The sequence below is a fragment of the Homo sapiens genome (assembly GCF_000001405.40).
Source record: "Homo sapiens chromosome 22 unlocalized genomic scaffold, GRCh38.p14 Primary Assembly HSCHR22_UNLOCALIZED_CTG1".
In the NCBI taxonomy this organism is placed as follows: Eukaryota; Metazoa; Chordata; class Mammalia; order Primates; family Hominidae; genus Homo; species Homo sapiens.
The window spans coordinates 112,438-132,710 of record NT_187386.1 but is presented as its reverse complement, the minus strand read 5'-3'; the positions used below and the strand labels follow the sequence as shown (position 1 = coordinate 132,710).

At 39.2% G+C, this 20,273-nt stretch overlaps 1 long non-coding RNA gene across 1 annotated transcript in view; it reads left to right on the top strand.

The window, feature by feature from the left end:
- Positions 1-614: 614 nt before the first annotated feature.
- The window catches only part of LOC107987389 (family with sequence similarity 230-like), a 29,391-nt gene continuing 9,732 nt past the window's right edge, over positions 615-20,273 (top strand). The window contains exons 1-8 of the long non-coding RNA NR_166643.1: positions 615-901; positions 1,753-1,811; positions 7,501-7,559; positions 8,028-8,052; positions 10,997-11,083; positions 15,978-16,043; positions 18,044-18,105; positions 18,571-18,604. This is a non-coding gene — a long non-coding RNA (family with sequence similarity 230-like). The remainder of the gene's footprint in view (positions 902-1,752; positions 1,812-7,500; positions 7,560-8,027; positions 8,053-10,996; positions 11,084-15,977; positions 16,044-18,043; positions 18,106-18,570; positions 18,605-20,273) is intronic.

Here is a 20,273-nt window from a genome sequence, read left to right as displayed (position 1 = left end):
TGGGTTATCATTGGCTATCATATAGGACATAGTGATACAAAGTGACAAGTGTGTGTCCCCCTCAAGTGTTATATATCACATGTGACATAGAGTAAGGTGAGCCTGAGTCCTTCTCTTGGTTGTCCTAGATTATTTTATTTTATTTTTTTGAGATACAGTCTCACTCTGTCCCCAAGGCTGGAGTGCAGTGGTGCAATCTCAGCTCACTGCAACCTCTGCCTCCTGGGTTCAAGCAATTCTCCTGCCTCAGGTGCCTGAGCAGTGGGGACCACAGGCGTGCACCACCTCACCCAGCTAATTTTGTATTTTTAGTTACACAGTAACAAATGTGACTGAGGTCTACCTGCGCTCTCAGCTGATGCTGGCACCTTTATTGCCTAGGTGTTTAATGCTTCTCAGGTCTGCATCCTATCTCCCGTCACACACTCTCATATGCTATGTAGGATGAGGACACAGCTGACACACTTAGTCACTGCACCTTGTATGATATAATACAACAGCTGAGAGAGTGGGACACATTCTTCATTCCCATTCTGTCAGTGTAACATAGCATATAGCAGCTGAGAACGGGGTACATCCCTGACTCACATGATGTCACAATGTCACATATGATATCATAAGTCATCCAGTGGGCTAGGCACGGTGGCTGACACCTATAATCCCCACACTTTGAGCCTGCCAAAGTGCCTTTTTTTGTGCCTTTCACATAAAGACTATGACACAGCTAAGCTATTCATGTACTAATAAATACCTGCCCTGAGCTGTGTGACCACGGACACCACCCTATAATATGGCCAGTGTGTAGGAACTCTGCAGGCTCAGATCATTCCAGACATACATGCAGATGTTGGAACTCCCTTGCACAGTGACTCATGATCCCAAGGCTGAGTGCTGAGGGCAGGTCAGTAGTTCAGAGCCTCAGCATTGGGGCCGTATGCTTGGGTTCCCATCTTGGCTCCCACACTTTGGGAGCCCGAGGTGGGTAGATCGCTTGAGCTCAGGCATTCGAGACCAGCCTGGGCAACATGGTGAAACCCTGTTTCTACTAAAAATACAAAAATTTGCCAGGCGTGGTGGTGTGTGTCTGCATTCCCAGCTACTCAGGAGGCTGAGGTGGGAGGATGGCTTGAGCTGAGGAAGCAGAGGCTGCAGTGAACTGCCCTGCTGAGAGTGGAGCTCCTGCTCAGCTCCTAGGAAGGCAAGAGCCAGCAAGGCCACTGCCCAGGCCCCCGAGGGTTCTAGGGGGTCCCATCCCTGGGAAGGTGGAATCTGGGAGGTGAGGGGGACCTAGGACCCCATTGTGTGCACAGCTTGGGCTAAGGCATGAGATAAGACCAGGGTGACAGTACAGGAGTATCCAAGAACTGACTTCACCTAACTTCTGCATTTGACTTCCCATCCCCAATGTGGGTAGGGCCCTGCCCTCTGGCGATTGGAAAGAGGCGCAGGGTGCAAAGAAGTCCCCTCCTCTGACCTCCTGCAGGGCTCCATCTTGGCCTGGATCAGCAGGGGGGCCTGGGCAGGAGGGAGGCTGTGGTCTTGGGATGGGGTGGCAGTTCCAGGCCCACAGCGGGGCAAGAGACATCCTACACCTTCCTCCCATCCTTGCCCCGAAAGTCATGGGCGCTGGGGTTCAAGGTGCCCTCACTATTTGACCTTTCTTGCTGGTGGCTTTGGTGTGTCATTCTGGTCCCCAGCCTCTGTTTCCTGGACTGTAAGTGGGGATAATAATAGGTCACCCCTCCCCTGCAGGATTAACCTCAGCGATTGTTGCTGGCATCAGTGCAGCCCTGGGACCAGAGCACACCTGGGTGAGTTTGGAGCGCTCCCGCTCTTCCTGGTGGCCCTGCCTGGGCACCGACCCCTCCCATCCTCTCCTCAATAGCCACGCCCCTAGCCCAGCTAGCTAATGAATAAATATGTAGCAGCCAGGCCAGCATCCTGGCTCCGCGGTCTAGCCACTTTCTAGTCCTTCCTAGCTGCGGCTGCCACTGAGCCACGCACGCCCCTGGCATCATGCTCGCCTTGCAGTGCAGCTGGTGTGGTGCAGACTCTGAGAGTGAGCACCAGGACTCTTCCCGTCTGGTCTCCAATCTACCCTCTTGCCATGCTCCACCACCCCTTAGGTCTTGCCACTGGGAGTGGGGAGGGACTGGGGAGAGAAAATACTGGGGTAGGGGTGACAGGAGAGAAGGTTCTTCACTGGCCTCCCCTGGCCTAAGCCCCTGGCCTACTTCATTCTTCCACCCCAGTTGATGGGATGGGGCTTGGAGAGGGCCCAGATGACTGGTCTCTCAGCTCAGCCTCCTGCCCACTGTCTCTATAGGTGCCTGGTGCTACGACTCCCAGGACCCCAAGTGTGGTGAGGACAGAGTGTCATGTGAGGCTGAGTGACATCAGTCTGTGTCCTGGGACCACCAGACACCATAATACATATTATGTAATATGTATGATACATATTACAGAATAAATGACATATATAATATATGATATATATTACATATAATATATGACATATATTACATATATGTGACATATATTACATATAATATGTGACATACATTATATGTAATATATGATATATAATATATAGTATATGATATAAAATATATAATATATGATATATAAGATATATAATATTATATTACATATAATTATATTATATTATATATATTATATATATCATAATATATTATATGATATATTATATATATCACAATATATTATATATTATATATAATATATATCATAATATATTATATATTATATATAATATGTCATAATATATTATATATTATATATAATATGTCATAATATATTATATATTATATATAATATATAATAATATATTATATATTATATTATTATTATAAAATATATAATACTATATAATGTTATATATAATATAATATTATATAATAATATAAAATATATTAGATTATAATATATATTATACTATAACATATTGTATAACATATGATAATATAATATATATTATATATTATATTGTATAAAATATTATATTATGTATAATATATAATATTTTATATAAAATATTATATAATATATAGTATAATATATTATATAAAATATTATGTAATATATATTATATATTATATATTATTATCTTGTATATATAATTATATAATTATATATAATTATATATATTATATTATATGTAATAATTATATATAATTATATATTATATCATATGTAATAATTATATATAATTATATATTATATTATATGTAATAATTATATATAATTTATGTATTATATTATATGTAATAAATACACATAATTATATATATTTTATTATATATAATATTATATATAATTGTATATTATATTATATATAATAATTATAGATTATATTATATGTAATAATTATATTTTATATTATTTTTAATATTAATTAATATTAATTAATAATAATTAATTTAAAGTATTATTATTTTATATATTATATATAATATTATTTTATATTATATATTATATTATATATAATATTATATATTATATTATATTATATATTATATTATATTATAATATATAATATAATATAATATATTATTATATTATATTACATATTATATTATATATACGTATATATAATATATTATGTATACTTATATATAATATAGTATATTATATATATTTATATATAATATAGTATATTATATATATTTATATATAATATATATTATATTATATAGAATTATATAGAATTACATATTATATTATATAATTATATATATTCATATATATTATATTATATATAATAATACATATTATATTATACATAATATTATATATAATATAAGGATGCAGGATGTAAAAGGAAATTATGTATATGTTATATATATTATATATATTATATTGTATATAATTATATATATATTATATTGTATATAATTATATATATATATATTTGTGGGTGCCCTATTTCCCATCTCATAACTTATTTTAAGAAGCCAGCATAATAATGTGTGGGCTTGGGATTCAGTTTTTGAAAGAAAACACTGAGCCTTTGATGACCTTCCTGTACTTGTAAAAGCCCTCCTGTCTGCATGGCAGCAGTTGGACCTCACAGTGTGGATTGTGCCTTCACCCTGGAATGTTTATGCCCTATCGCCATGGTGATGGGATTAGGGATCTCCTGCCCTTGGTCCTAAGTGCCAGTATCTGTGCTGAGTTTTACAAAGGTCAGAGCAGATTGAACCATTGTGGTTTCATTTTCCCTGATTTTGATTTTTCTTATGGGGAACCTGTGTGGCTGCATTCAAGGTATGTTCATACTGGCCTGTCAAATGCGATCTTTTCAAATTACTAGTTAATGCTTTCAAAATGTGTTATTTAAAAAATTAGCCTCTGTATTTTCCATATGCAGTTATAAATATGTTTCATGATTATGTTTTATTCCTCAATTTATATATTTGATTATTGTACCAAGCAGAGTATCTTTGAAATTTTTCTTCATTTAAAAAATATGTATCTTGACTCAGGCCTGTAATCCCAGCACTTTGGGAGGCCAAGGCAAGAGGATCACAAGGAGAGGAGATCAAGAGCACCCTGGCCAATACAGTGAAACCCTGCCTCTACTACAAATACAAAAAATTAGCCAGGCATGGTGGCAGCTGGTGTAGTCCCAGTGTGAATTGGGATTCAGTTTATTCCCAAATTCCCAAATTTTATATATATATATATATATATATATATATATATATATATATATATATATAATATATTAAATATATTATATATATACTACATATTATATTATATATAATTATATATATATATATTTGTGGGTGCCCTATTTCCCATCTCATAACTTATTTTAAGAAGCCAGCATAATAATGTGTGGGCTTGGGATTCAGTTTTTGAAACAAAACACTGAGCCTTTGATGACCTTCCTGTACTTGTAAAAGCCCACCTGTCTGCATGGCAGCAGTTGGACCTCACAGTGTGGATTGTGCCTTCACCCTGGAATGTTTATGCCCTATCGCCATGGTGATGGGATTAGGGATCTCCTGCCCTTGGTCCTAAGTGCCACTATCTGTGCTGAGTTTTTCAAAGGTCAGAGCAGATTGAACCATTGAGGTTTCATTTTCCCTGATTTTGATTTTTCTTATGGGGAACCTGTGTGGCTGCATTCAAGGTATGTTCATACTGGCCTGTCAAATGCGATCTTTTCAAATTACTAGTTAATGCTTTCAAAATATGTTATTTAAAAAATTAGCCTCTGTATTTTCCATATGCAGTTATAAATATGTTTCATGATTATGTTTTATTCCTCAATTTATATATTTGATTATTGTACCAAGCAGAGTATCTTTCAAATTTTTCTTCATTTAAAAAATATGTATCTTGACTCAGGCCTATAATCCCAGCACTTTGGGAGGCCAAGGCAAGAGGATCACAAGGTGAGGAGATCAAGACCATCCTGGCCAATACAGTGAAACCCTGTCTCTACTACAAATACAAAAAATTAGCCAGGCATGGTGGCAGCTGGTGTAGTCCCAGTGTGAATTGGGATTCAGTTTATTCCCAAATTCCCAAATTATATATATATATTATATATATATATATAAAAAATATATATATATAAAATATATATATAATGTATTTAATATATTATATATAATATATTATATATATTATATATAATATATTATATATAATATATATAATATATTAAATATAATATATATAATATATATAATATATTATATATATTATAGATAATATATATTATATAATATATAATATATATTATATATTATATATTATATATTATGTATATAATATATAATATATAATATATAATATATATTATATATTATATATTATGTACATTATATATTATTTATATATATTATATATAACATATAATATATATAATAAATAATATATATATTATATATATCATATAATATATAATATATATAATATATATATAATTTCCTTTTACATCCTGCATCCTTCAACGTTCCATTCCCCACCCCACAGATTAAGTTATTCCCCAGGGGAGAATATGGCAGAGTCTATTTTAATGCAGTTTTTAACCCAATTAAGAACCTACGAAATCATTACTTTCCAAAACTTTGGAACAAAGCCGCAGTAGTATGGATCCGTTGGAGGCTTTTCACACAATAAAATGTACCTCTCTTTGTTTTTAACATGTTTTTCCCTTCCTCTCTTCTTTTTTTGTGAAATGTGTATTTACTTTATTTGTAGTAAGTCACTTCCATGCACATATTAATTTTTTAAAGTAATAAGTATGTGTATTGTCTACGTGTGAAATAAAACACACATTTATTTTTATGCTTTGGAAGTTATCCAGAATCATGGAATTCTCAATCACAGTCAATCACCCAACCTACTCACCTTTCCAGTGTAATCTTAGTCAAATTTTTTTTTGTTATCCAATGAGATGCAGTATTTCAACTCAGAAAGATAAATAGAGTGAATTTATAGAGACTATTAACTAAGAACATACAGTTTTATTTATACTCAGAAGCAAGTAGATTATGTACATATATATGAAGATAAAAATTAAAAGGATAATTGTGTAAATTTGCATGTAGAGGGCTTTGAAAACCTGTTTACTTGTTAATGCCGTTTTGATGTATTGTGTCTTTGTTCTCCCGACCCATCATCCAGAGCTCTCTGCAGGAGCTAAGTGCTCATCAGTTCCATGACTTGGAAACTAAGTTTAGAGGCACTTGTATTTGTTAGTAAATAAGGCAAGATGATATTGTTTCACAGGTTTTAGTGCCGAAGACTGAATAGATATGCTGCTCCACCCAGTACACTGGTGTTCATTTCATGGTCATCTCATCTGTTAACCATGGATATAAAACATTTATCTTCAATGATGGGGTTTTACCATGTTGGTCAGGCTGGTCTCGAACTCCTGACCTCAAATGATCCACCCACCTCCACCTTCCAAACTGCTGGGATTACAGGTGTGAGCCACTATGCCTGACTGATTATTTTCATAACCAAGAAAAGAAATAAATACAATTAATGCTGGTGCATGGTATTAAATCTAGTTTTTAAAAAATTCACACATAAACGAGGCAGAACCCTATACCCTCCATGATAAATGCAGTAGCAGTGTATGTGGGTCTGTGGAGGTTGAAAGGGACTTGGTAGATGTCAAGAAGGTAGTGGCAGTCCTGCTGGGCTTTTAAAGGGTCTGAAGAAGTGACAGGATGCTGTGGTTGAATCCTAGCATGTATTTTAGCATTTGTTCATTTGGAGTTGATTATTTCACGTTGCTTTCATTTGCCATTACCTGGAAAGCCAAGGGCTCTACTCTCATTTCCTTGCTGCTCTTTCTTTGCCTTCCTTGGTCCGTGAAGAAGATGGTCCAGGAGAAGCTCATTCCATGCTTGTTAACCAGGCACGCCCCTAAGTTCCAGTCCCTGAGTCATTCATGAGTAGCACTGCCAATGAACTGACAGCCATGCTGTGTCCCTCCACATCCCCTAGGTGACTCGAAGAAGCCTTCCAAAAAGCGTGTGAAAAGGAAGCCCTACTCTACTACCAAGGTAAAGTAGCCTGTCTTTGCCTAAGATGTAAATGTTGTTTTCTTGGATCCTTTATTTTTCAGTTGATATCAGCTATGGGAAAATTATCCACTACATTATAGGTGTTAGATAATATTTCCTTGGGGATGGAGGAGGTGTATTTTACCAACTGACACCTGATTCCAGAGGACGTGCAAAATTGGCAGTGTCAGATAGTACACTGGGTGTTAAGGGATGTTTTCTTCAGGAACAAGCTTTCCACTTTAGATAAGAATTCTGCAATTGCTACTCAAAAATTACCTAGACAGAAACATTCTTCAAGAAAAGCTCCTGTGCTTTCCTAAGGGAACTCTACTCTAGAGTTGGGGCTTTTGACTTGAACCTTATTTCCAATCTTGGTTACCCAGAGTTTCCAAGTGAACAAAAGACCTGTGTGAGCCATCCATAGCATAGCCTGATTCTCAGAGTGTTTTCCTTCTCTAATTACAGGTGACTTCAGGGAGCACATTCAATGGTACGTATTCTGGAATCACTCACTGGTTGTTAGAAAAGGATTCTACAGGAAATCTGGAGCTTAACTGCTGGCTTTTGTCTGGAGAGCCTCCATGATCCAAGACATCTGGTGGGAATGAGGATGTAGGGTATAGTAAAAGAAACTGGTTTTCCTGGTGACATACTCTTTTTATCTATGTATAGTTTCTGGGAACATGTTCACATTAGGTTGTGTGTGGGTATGTGTGTATTAGGGCGGGGGTGGGGTGAGGTGGTCTGTGTGCAAGTCTGCATGATTTGCTTGTGAATGTGTGTCTATCTGTGTTTCCCCCAGGAAAAAAATGTTGTGTTTACCCAGCACAACTCTCAGTGCCATTTTTCTTAATTTAACAAATCAGACCACATACTTTACTTACATTAGTTCACACCTCATCATCATCATGCCCATATGTTGTGAGCTTGTTTATTGAGCCCACATGCCAGATGGAGAAACTAAGCCACATAAATAAATGTGCTCTGGTTCACTTGCTGCATAGTGAAGAGTCAAAATGTTTCCTCATACGGTGCTAATGTTGAAGGCCTGAACTACAACCTCTATTTATCAGCCAGTGAAGAGATCACTATTCACCATGCAAGGGAGTTCCAGCACCCTCTATGCCTGGAATTACCCACACCTGCAGAGATCCCAAATGCCATCCCTCACATAAGAGAACGTCATGATCTCATAATCCAGGTAGCTATGTAGACATCTTCCTGCAGGTGTCACATAGTCCTTAGTGTGAAACCAACATAGAAAGCCCATGTTTCTGATCAAATCACAGGTTCTGAAACACTAAGGGAGGCACTAAGTAGGACAACGTGGTGCCTGCGTGTCATAGCTGGGTCTCCTCAAGACATGGATCAAGTCCAGTAAGAATTGGGGAGATGCTTTAGAGTCTTGATGGAGTTATCACCACAAGCCCTCTGAGCTACACACTTTAGGGATCATGACCATTAAGTACTCAAATTACCATTTGGTTGTTATCCGGGTATCCGTCGTCCTTGTGGCAACCCTCTTGTGAAGCTGGTGTGGGCAGCCTCAGTGCTGGAGCTGTGCCTCCCTTCTGAGTGGACCCTTTCTGTGTTAGCAGGTGGGTACAAGCGTGGGGGTCAGCACACTCAGTGGATTTACACACACAGCGTTGAAGAGTAAGGCTGGGCTTCATTATTTATACATTTTCAATAAATGATGATCTTCATAACATAAAATCAATGATGTAGTACACTAGAATACTGTCCCTAGTATTGAATCTTGTCTCTCAGCAAAGGGTTGCTTAAAGTCACGTGACAGATTCCATTCAACTGATGACACATGCTGTAGCAGCAGTTAAAGCAGTCATTTGAAAAGGCTTTTACTATAAACTTATGTGTGAGCCTGAAGTGGGGGATAAAAGAGGCGATTAGCTCCCCTGTGCCATGTTTCTATTATGTGCGTGGTGGAGGAAAATTACACAGGAAGGTGATGGAGAGAACAGAGCAAAGGATTGGACAGGTCCATTGAACCCATAAGACTATGGTGAGGTTAGTGAATGAGATTGGTCATTTTAGGTCAAATTTTACCCAGAGCTGGTGCAGCCACTGCCCATTCTTAGCCAGACCTTATTGCAGGCAGCTCTGATCAATAGTCAAGGAGGCAGTGGGGCTTGCAGACTTAATTCATTAAATCACCAAAGCACCAGCCCACACGGCCACTTTTCCAGTTAATTGACAGTAGCTTGCATATTCAGGTTTGATCAGTGGAAGGGAAGTTACTCTTTGCAGACCCATTTTTGACAATCATTTTGCGGTGTCAGAAGGTCTGAGCAGCCTCGGGAGGCAAGCAGTCCCTGGTCCCTCAGTGTAGTCACTGGAGGAGACAGTCACTGAGAGGCAGCTGGCAGGGTGAAGGGCAAGGGGAGGCAGGCCACAGAGATGACAGCCTTTAAGCTGTCATACTGGGAGGTCAAGGATCTGAAAGAGGAAGGAGAATTCTTTATCATTAAGGACCTGTCCTTATCTCAGGCATTTCCTCCAGAGCACCACCTTTGTCCACCCACACACCTTGGGCTAGGAGGACTGGAGAAAGACAGTGAGGGGTCTCTTGGGTCTCTGGCACAGGGCGTGATGAAGAGGTGGCAGTTTTTCAGGAATCTCTCTCTCTAGGGAACCAAATACATTTCCCATCTCAGGTCCTTCACTCAGCGGGGTTGAGGTTCTGCTCGTCACTTATCATCTCTGAATGTCAGCACCCTCAAGTGTAAAATCTCAGCCACAGCCCCTCCTCTGCACCCCCTGCAGGGCTGATGTTCTCCATAAACCATAAGGCGTCATGCCCACGGAAAAGCCGAACAGGAAAGCATGCTCCACTGCCCCGGAGCCATCCAAGTTCCCCCTCCATATTCCGCCACTGCTAAGTGTCCAGCTTATTCCTCCTGGCATGTAGTAAACACTTAGAGAACATTACTGAAGTACCAGTCCTCTCTAAGGTTTTCCTGTATTTAGTGATTTTTTAGCCCTGTACTGTGATACTAAGAAGTAGGGCTTAAATAGGGCCTAAAAAGTATTGCTAAAATTACATTATGACAGTGCAGAGAACTGAGGGCAGAGGGAGGACATGAGCTTGCCAGGTCCACATGGCTTAGTGGAATTTGAATCCGGGCCCCCACTCTGCACCAGCCCTGCACTCACAGTCATCCGGCTGTGTTCCCCTCTCCAGGAAGGCACTGCCCACGCAGTCTGTCTGATAGAGGTGTTGAGTGCTCACTGAACTCCGTGATCTTCCTGAAACCCAACTTTGATTCAGTGGGCTCTGCTTGGAAGCCTGTAAAAAAAGGATCATAAGTTTAAACTTAGAACAGATTATCACTATTTTCCCTCTGGTCTTCTGTCAGCAAGATGTCAACAGCCCTATCTATTGTCAATGCATTAACCAGCATCTTCTCTGATAGAGAACACAAGAAGCTATGCTGTGCACACCAACCAGTGTAGGAGACCTCATGGCTCCCGGGTAAAGAAGAAGAGGTACCCACAAGAAGGTACTGTGGAAGTTCATTAATTAAGTTGATTCAAGAATTGCAGTTGCGGGGAGTATTCAGTGTCCCATATGTAAGAGGAAACTATGAAGAGACTAAGCCATATTTTTTAATGTGTCAGGATTCTAATTTGCCTGGTCAGTAAATATTGCTACCACCACAAAAGTAAATATCTACTTAAAAGTCAATTTTGGTTCATGTTTAATGATAGACAATGCTTCAAGCTAATGTCTAGAACTTACCTGGTTGTTAAATATAAGCATAGATCTCCCTGAAAGAGTGGTGCTATATTATTATTTTTCAATTAATATATTTCTTTAGAGAGTTTTAAATTGACATAAAAACTGAGCATATGGCCGGGCGTGGTGGCTCACACTTATAATCCCAGCACTTTAGGAGGCCAAGGCAGGCGGATCATCTGAGGTCAGGAGTTGGAGACCAGCCTGGCCAACATGGTGAAACCCCATCTCTACTAAAAATCCAAAAAAATTAGCCCGGTGTGGTGGCAGGTGCCTGTAATCCCAGCTACTCAGGAGGCTGAGGCAGGAGAATCGCTTGAACCCAGGAGGCAGAGGTTGCAGTGAGCCAAGATCATGCCATTGCACTCCAGCCTGGGTGACAAGAGTGAAACTCCATCTCAAAATAAATAAATAAATAAATACATAAAAATTGAGTATATAATACACGAAGTTCCCATATTATTCTGTCTCCTCACCCTCACTTCCTAATTTCACCTATTAGTAACATCTTACATTACTGTGGTACATTTGCTAGAATAATGAGAAAATATTGACACATTATTATCTGAAGTCTACATTTGCATAATGTTCATTCTTTCTGTTATACATATATATGAATTTTGAAATATTTAAAACATTATGTTCACCCTTATGGTCTCATAAAGAAAATGTTCACTTCCCTAAAAATCCTCTCTTCTCATTAATCTCTGTCCTCTTTCTCCAGAAACCTTGGCAACTATTAATATTTTTACTATCGCTTCAGCTTTGCCTTTTCCAGAATGTCATATAGTTGGAATCATATATTATGTAGTTTTTTCAGATGAATTTATTGCACTAAATTGATGTACGCTTTAGCTGCTTTCATGTCTTTTTTATGCCTTAATGGCAAAAAATGGCACATTAAATCACCAAATAATATTGCATTCAATGAATTTTTGTCTTTTTATTCACCTGTTGAAGAATTCGGTAGATTTCATGAGAGAAACCATCTGGGCCTGGTGCTTTCTTTTTCGGAATGCTCTTAATGTGAATTCAACTTATTTAGTAGACATAAGTTTATTCAAATTAGGATCCTAGCATGACCTTGGGAAGATTGCCTTTCAAGGAATTGATACATTTCACTGAGGTTATCAGACTGCGGTCATAGAACTGTTCATGATATTCCTTTTAATGCCTAACAGTTCAGTAGAGATGGCTCCTCTTTTATTTCTGAAATTGGTCATTTGTGTTATCTTCTTTTTCTTGGTTAGCCTGCATATCAATTCATTCATTGTAATGAGCATATCAAAGAACCAGCTTTTGGTTTTATTGATTTTCTGATGATTTCAGTGTTTTAATTTTATTGATTTCTGTGATGTTGTTTATTACTTTTACTTGCTTTCCATTGCATTCCTCTATTTTCTATAGTTCCCTAATTGAAACATGATATTACTGATTTTAGGTCTTGTGATTTTTAGTATATTGCATCCAATGCTATAGATTTCCCTCTAAGGACTGCTTTTGCTACATCCAGAAATCTTGCCAAGTCACATTTTCTTTTAATGTAGTTAAAAGTATTTTTAATTTTCTATTGAGACTTCTTCTTTAACCCAAGAGTTATTTAAAAGTGCATTGCTAATTTGCAAATATTTGGGGATTTTGTGGCTCTTTTACAGTTGTTGAATTTTTGTTGTCAGGTGTGTGTTGCAAAAGCAGTCGTCTACCTCATCTTGCCACCACCCAAGATGGCCCAGGATGTGGGCTCTCCCTGAGTGAATCTTTGGCAATCTGCCAACCTGATGTGTTCGGCCTCCTTCTTTAGTCTGAGCTTGCCTTCTGCTTAGAAAGGGCCATTCTCAGTTCTGGCAGGGAGTTTTCCCAACATTGAGAAGGTGGCATTCTTACTCCCCACTGCAGCCTGCACCTCTGACCGGTGGTCAGCAGACAGGACAGAGGTCCTCATTAGACAGAGTTCAGCAGGGTCTCTGACCAAAGTGCATCTTCAGAGTCTGCACCTACCCACTGTGACCACGGGCAGGCTCTGAGTCCTAAAGCAGGAGGAACTGTGCGACCATCCTGATTGGAAATTTGTGAGGATCACCGTGTTACTCAAGTAAGGTCTTTGGAAAGTGTCGTATTACTACTGTTTGTGAACTGCTTGTTGGTGGCCTGGCTGAGCCACACACTTTATGAAAACCAGGACCCCTCAGCTGGTGTGGGTGTCTATGCAGCCTGAGACCCTCATGTGAACAGCCTCGTGGCAGCTGTCTTTGCCCCTTGCCACCATCAGTGCCTCCTTGTTCCTGGGCACTGCTTTCTCTGATGGTGCTCCATTGTTTTCCTGCACCTCAGTGTCTACAGCTGGATGTCTCTTCCGCAATCTAGGCGAGGGGGCATCAACGGCAGTTCTGCTGTGGCACTGCCCTCCTTCTTAGCTTGTCTTGCTCTGTCTTAGGCTCCCTCAAAGATCCCACCCTTCAGGTTCTTCCACAAGTTTCTTATTGAAATCCGAGCAGAAAACTATGACCAATATGACCAATCCTATACCCACTGAAGACATGAATGAAGAATTAAAACAATTCTCCATGGACTCTACCATATAGATCCCTAGAAGTAATTTCTAAAAAAAAAAAAATCAAGGAAAATGTAATAGTTTTCCATAAATTAGAATACCCTACATGTACAATTAAATGAAATGGCTACTATAGTCTTGAAACCAAAACCAGATAAGGTAAATTAAATTCTGTGATATTTTAAAATACTTTAAATTCTGACTAATGTGAGTTAATCTCAACATATGAAATAGTAGATTAACATTGAAAATGCAATAAATAAAATTAGCTACCTCAAGAGTTTAATGGAAAAAAATGTGATTATTGCAATAGATTCAGGAAATTCATGAATAACATTCACCCTATATTTGTAGGACAACTATCTGATTAACTTTAAGTGACCTGTGACAACCACTTGAATTAATGCTGCTTTCACAGCATATCTCTTGGCTTGTTAAAAACCCGACAAGAATTTCCGTAACATTATTTTTAACACCTATATTGGGTGTGAACCCACCATAAAGTTTGCCCACTGAAAAGGTCTAGAATTTGATGCTTTATTAAATTGATACTGTGTGCACCCAACACCACGATCTAATTTAAATATGTTTCCCTCACCCAAGTTCTCTCTTGCGCACTGGCAGTTAATCCCCACTCCCATCTCCAGCCCTAAGCAATACTGCTGTGACATTCCATCTCCATAAATTTCCCACTTGCTTTATAGAAATGGACATATATATATATTTGGAATCTGACTTCCCTCATTTAGCATACTATGTTTGAAGTTAATTGACGTGTTAGCACGTGCTGGTCATGTGTTTTCCTTCATAGTCTGCTGTGTTTATTCATACAGATAGTGTTTATTCATTTATCAGTTAATGGACATTTAATTGTTTTGTTATTTTCTTTGATGAGTAAAGTAGCTTTGAGCATTCATATACAGTCATGTAATGCATAATGACATTTTGGTCAAAAAAAATTTTTTTTTTTCTGAGACCCAGGCTGGAGTGCAGTGGCACAATCTCGGCTCACTGGAACCTCCATCTCCCAGGTTTAAGCAATTCTCATGCCTCAACCTCCCGAGTAGCTGGGACAACTGGCACACACCACCACGCCTGGATAATTTTTGTATTTTCAGTAGAGACGGGATTTTGCTGTGTTGGTCAGGCTAGTCTCAAACTCCTAGCCTCAGGTGATCCACCCACCTCTGCCTCCCAAAGTGCTGGGATTATAGGCATGAGCCACCACACCCAGCCTAATTTTTTTAAGAAAGAAGGGAACTATTTTCTAAATTACTTTTGCCAATTTATATTCCTACCATGATGCATAGCACTAATTTCACCGTACAATGTATGGTAGGCCCCAATATGTAAGAAATGATGAAAGTAACACATAAAGATTAGTATAAGACAAATGAGATTATCGTTGTTGCTATCATCTTTGTCAAATTCTGAAAACAATCTGAGTATATTTTTATATAAATATGCTTGGCAACATAGCTGAAAAAAGCATTATCAGTTACATTTATCAGTAACAAAGACATAAATTTGAAGGGGGAAAAACACTTGTACTAACAATGCAATGTCAGAATTAACATAAAAATTCTGCTGGTCACTTTGGAATATTTAATTGCCTGGGGCAGTGTTTAGTAGACAAATGAGCATCTATGGAGCACCCAAAGTAGGGGAATCAACAGAACTTGGGTTTCAAAAGTTATCTGGGTTTAGAGCGTGAAACTTTGTTAGAGGACACACACCTTGCATGAGTGAGGTGCCTTGGTGTGTGTGGACGTATCATTATGCTTGGAGGTACAGCATAATGGTGGCTTCCTCCAGAAAGGGACATTTGGGGTAGATTCATGCCATCTAGACAACACAGCCTGATGTGGCATGGACATGAATGGAGGTGAAATGGTCAGTAGTTGAGAGGATCAGTCCTGACAAGGGCCGAGGTGAAAAACCTGGGAACCCCTTCAGGTGCAAAGTCTTCAGTTGAAAAAGGAGGTGGTCACAGGAAATACTGAGATGGGTCAGCAATGCATGGGAGACAGAGTTCTTGGCCCTGCAGGGTGAGTAGTGTGGATTCTCAAGTTTTCTCCTCTCTCCATTAATTTCTTTCCCAATGCAGATGACTTCCATCATACAGTCTTCAGCAACCTTGAAAGATTGGACAAGCTTCAGCCCACTCTTGAAGGTAAAGGAAGGCAGCTAACAAGACTGGCATCTGGGCTTGGCTGTGCATGTTTTCTATCGTGGGGAAATATATATAACACATTATTTATCATTTGAACCTTTTAACCAAAGTGTGCACTCCGTGGCATTCAATATATTCACAGGGTTGCATAACCAACACCACTATCTACACCCACAATTTTGATGATTTCTTACAAAACCTTGTCCACAATAAGCAATATAGCGCCTTCCCCCTATTTCCAGCCCATGGTGATTCCTATCCCACTTTCTCTTGTATGAATTTGACTATTCTAGGCACTTCATGTAATTACAATTATACAATATATTCCTTTTGTGTCTGGCTTATTTCACTAAGCATAATGTTCTCAATGTCCACCCATGTTGTATCATCTATCAAAATGATGTTCGTTTTTTACAGATGGATGATGTAGCATTGCATGCAGACCACCTTGCTTTTATTACATTCATTTGTTCACTGATGGTTGGATTATTTCCACCTTTTGGCTCCTGTGAAAAGTGATGCTACAAACATTAGTATACAAACATCTGTTTGATTTCTGTTCTCTATTCTTTGGGGTGCCTAAGAGTAGAGTTCCTGGGTCCAACAGGGGTTCTATATTTAACCTTCTGAGCCACTGCAGACTGTTTTTCACAGTGGCTGCAACTTTATCCATTTCTACCATCAATGTATCAGGGTTACAATTTCTTTACATCCTTGTTCACACTTATTTTCCTTTAAATCATCCTAGTAGGTGTATATTGGTGGCTGCTTGTGTTTTTCATTTGCATTTCCCTAATGACTAATGATCCTGAGCAGCTTTTCCTGTGCTACTATTTGTGGCTATATCTTCTTTAGGGAAATATATGTTGAAGTCTTTTGCCCATTTTTAAAGAGTTGTCTGATTTTTATTTAGTTAGTTTGTTGTTGTAGATTTTTGAATATATCTTAAATATATTTAAAAATATTCTAAATTTTAGTCTCTTACAAGATAAATGATTTGCAAATATTTCCCCCTTTGTGTAGAAGTTTAGATTCACAAACTTCATTAATTTGTATGAAATCCTCAGCAGTTGACCCCAAACAGATAAGACTGAAGCAGTATTTTAGGAATAGTTGAAAGTATGATCACCACAAAACATAAGCGTAATCAAATCCTGCAAGCTACATGTAAGGCACAATGACAAATAAGGCAGCAAAGGGCCATCTGGTGATTAGTTCACCACACTTGTTGCAACTGTTTGCGCTGCAGAGTTAAAACATACCAGCATTCAACCCATGTCTCCTGTCTTGAAGTAAACTGTCGTATGTTGGCTGGCCTGAACAAGCGTAGATATTCTCCATCCTCAATTAATATGCATGCATGACAAAGAAAAGGAGGCCTGGATGAAAAAATATTGTGTGATTAATAATTATGCTTTAATTAATTTTAAAGGATATAATTTCAGTACTTCTAATTCTCCCATCAGCAGTTATAACAAAGGATTAGTGAATAAATACCATAGACTGTTTTGCCTAGAATTGAATCCAATCTGTCTATTAAACTTTGCTTTTATTCAAGTGCAAAATGCTAAAACACATAATAACTGCAGTGACAGCCACTGTGGATCCTCAGAGGTAAAAGTAGTCTTGGGACATAAATCCTGCAAGTAATATTGTTTTTACAGGTTTAGAAAACCATTTAGCTGGGTTTCAAACCTCACAGTGTGAGCAGTGGGACTCTCATCAAACTATAGCATGTGCTTCAGTACCATTTGTAGACTGACTCATTCCCATTGCCTTAAGTTGCCATCAGCAAAATGCCAGGGACTCTATTTCTTGCTCCTTAGCTCCTCGTTCTTGCCTGTCTTTCCACGAGGGAGGATTTTCTAGCAGGAGCTCAAGCTGTGCTTTTAATGAAACACATCCACACACACTGTCCTGTTGTCCACATTAAGCAGAGCTCCCTGAATAGCTCATGAACAAAAGCATCTGTGACTAACTGTTGCTCTGTGTCCTCCTAGCCTCTGAGGAGTCTCTAGTTCACAAGGACAGAGGAGATGGAGAGAGGCCAGTCAACGTGAGGGTAAGGTTGCCTTGCTTTCTCTGAAATAGAAATGTTCCTTTCTTGTTGTCTTTCTTTTTCAACTGACTTTACATGTGAAAAGATGACAATGTCCATGACAGGTATTAAATGCAGTTTTCTGAGGGGGAGGAAGAAGTGACTCTTAGCAACTGATATGTAATCCAAAATGGCATTTAGCTATGATGGCTTCAGGTTGTAGACTGTATCCTTGGGGTCCTTGTCCTTGGAAGCAATGTCTTCTCCTTGGATTCAGTATTTTGCACTTGCCAACCTACGTGGACCTGAGAGATCCACCATCCAGAAGCTGATGTCTTTTCCAGTGTGTATCCTACCCTTGTTTTGGAGGCCTTGAAGTTGACTACACTTTCTGATCAAGTTTTCAATATTCATTGAGAGAAACACAGCCTTGTGCAAACAATCCACAACATGACATACCCCTCAAAAAGCTTTGTTTCTGTATTGCAGGTGGTGCAGGTGGCCCCTCTGAGGCGTGAATCTAGTAAGTATTCTGGAATCACTTACCGAGAAAACAATCTGGATGCCAAGAAAGGTGTGGCATCCTTGCCTGGTTTCAATGTGAAGAGCCACCCTGATCCTGGGATTGTGATAGGAATAAGTATAGGGGAAGTGTTTTTTTAAAACCTGAATTCCCCAGGGAAAAATTATGGCCAAATTTTGAGGAAGCAGCTGTGCTCCCTTTTGGGTGGTGCTGAGTTGGGTGCTTGAGGATTGGTGGTGTCTTGTGTGAGGCTGCATCGTGTGGTGTGAATGTGTGTGTTTCTGTACAGGTGAGGCTGTGTGTTTTCTCAGGAGAGATTTCCCACTTATACAACCCAATCACCAGTGTCCACTTCTAACAATAAAATCCACCCCCGCTCTACTCTCTCTGTACAGTGACTCCTCCACCCTCACCAGAGCCATCCCCGGGTCTGCCTTATTATCCCCACTGCTCAGGTGGAGAACCTGAAGGGCCAAGGGAGTGGCCCCAGCTCCCGAGTTCCTGAATGAAAAAGTGAAAACACGAACCCAGGAGTGTGGGCCAGTGCTGACGCTGACATGCACTTAGTCATGGGGTGTTCACCACCACACAGGGAGTCCAGCATTCATGTATAAACCCTAAAGCAACGAGCCCAAAAGGCCCCAGGCACTGCCCATCATCATAAAGTGGCCTCCGTGGTCACACAACCCAGGGCAGTTATAGGTTCATCTCCCCACGGACAGGCATAGTCATCAGTGTGTCAAAAGCACAAAGATCCCCAGGTGTTTGGCTCAGCTCACCGATCCTTTTTTTTTTTTTTAACTTTTAAGTTCAGGGGTACATGTGCAGGATGTGCAGGTTTGCTACATATATAAATGTGTGTCATGAGAGTTTGTTGTACAGATTATTGCATCACCCATATATTGAGCCTAATATCAGTTATTTTTCCTGATCCACCCCCTCCTCCCACCTCCCACCCTCCAGTAGGCCCCACGCTCACAAATTCTAAGAGGAGTGGGGGACCACAAAGGCCAGTGTGGCCCACTTCAGTTGTGAAGTTAATTTGCTCAGCAACTGGCCAAAGTCTATAAGGATGGGTGATGTATTTTAGTAGATTTAGTAATACTATCTTCCCAAGCCCTAAAATGCTCAAATCCTGCCAGCCAAAAATGGTGAGGAGGGACAGATAGGAACTCTGTGTGGCACTTGGTTATTAGCCTGGCTTCCATCCCTTAGTGGCAACTCTCTTGTATATGTGGGTTAAAGACCCTCAGCCTCAAGCCAAGCCTCCTCCATGAGGAGCCATCTCACTATTGACCGGCTAGTGCCGGGTATGGCCACCAGCCCAACTGAAACAAAATGTTGCTTTAAAACAAGTGTAAATCTCATACATACAACAGGCAAATGCAGAAGCAGTGTGGTCTCGCAAGTTGTAAAGAGGACAGTCGCAATTTTGCTGGACTTCAACCTGGGTAGAAGACATGAGGGAACTCTGTCACTAAATCACGGCAGAGTTCAAGGCCACTTGTAGACTATTTCATGTTACAGAAGGTGGCCTTTAGCTACTAAGCAAAGGCCTCTGTTTCTCATTTCTTTCCTGTTCATCTTCTTGGTCATCCTTCTTCCGCAAGGGAAACGAGCCCAAGCAAAAGGCAGTTTCAATATTAATTTGACCGAGGTTTTGTGCAGT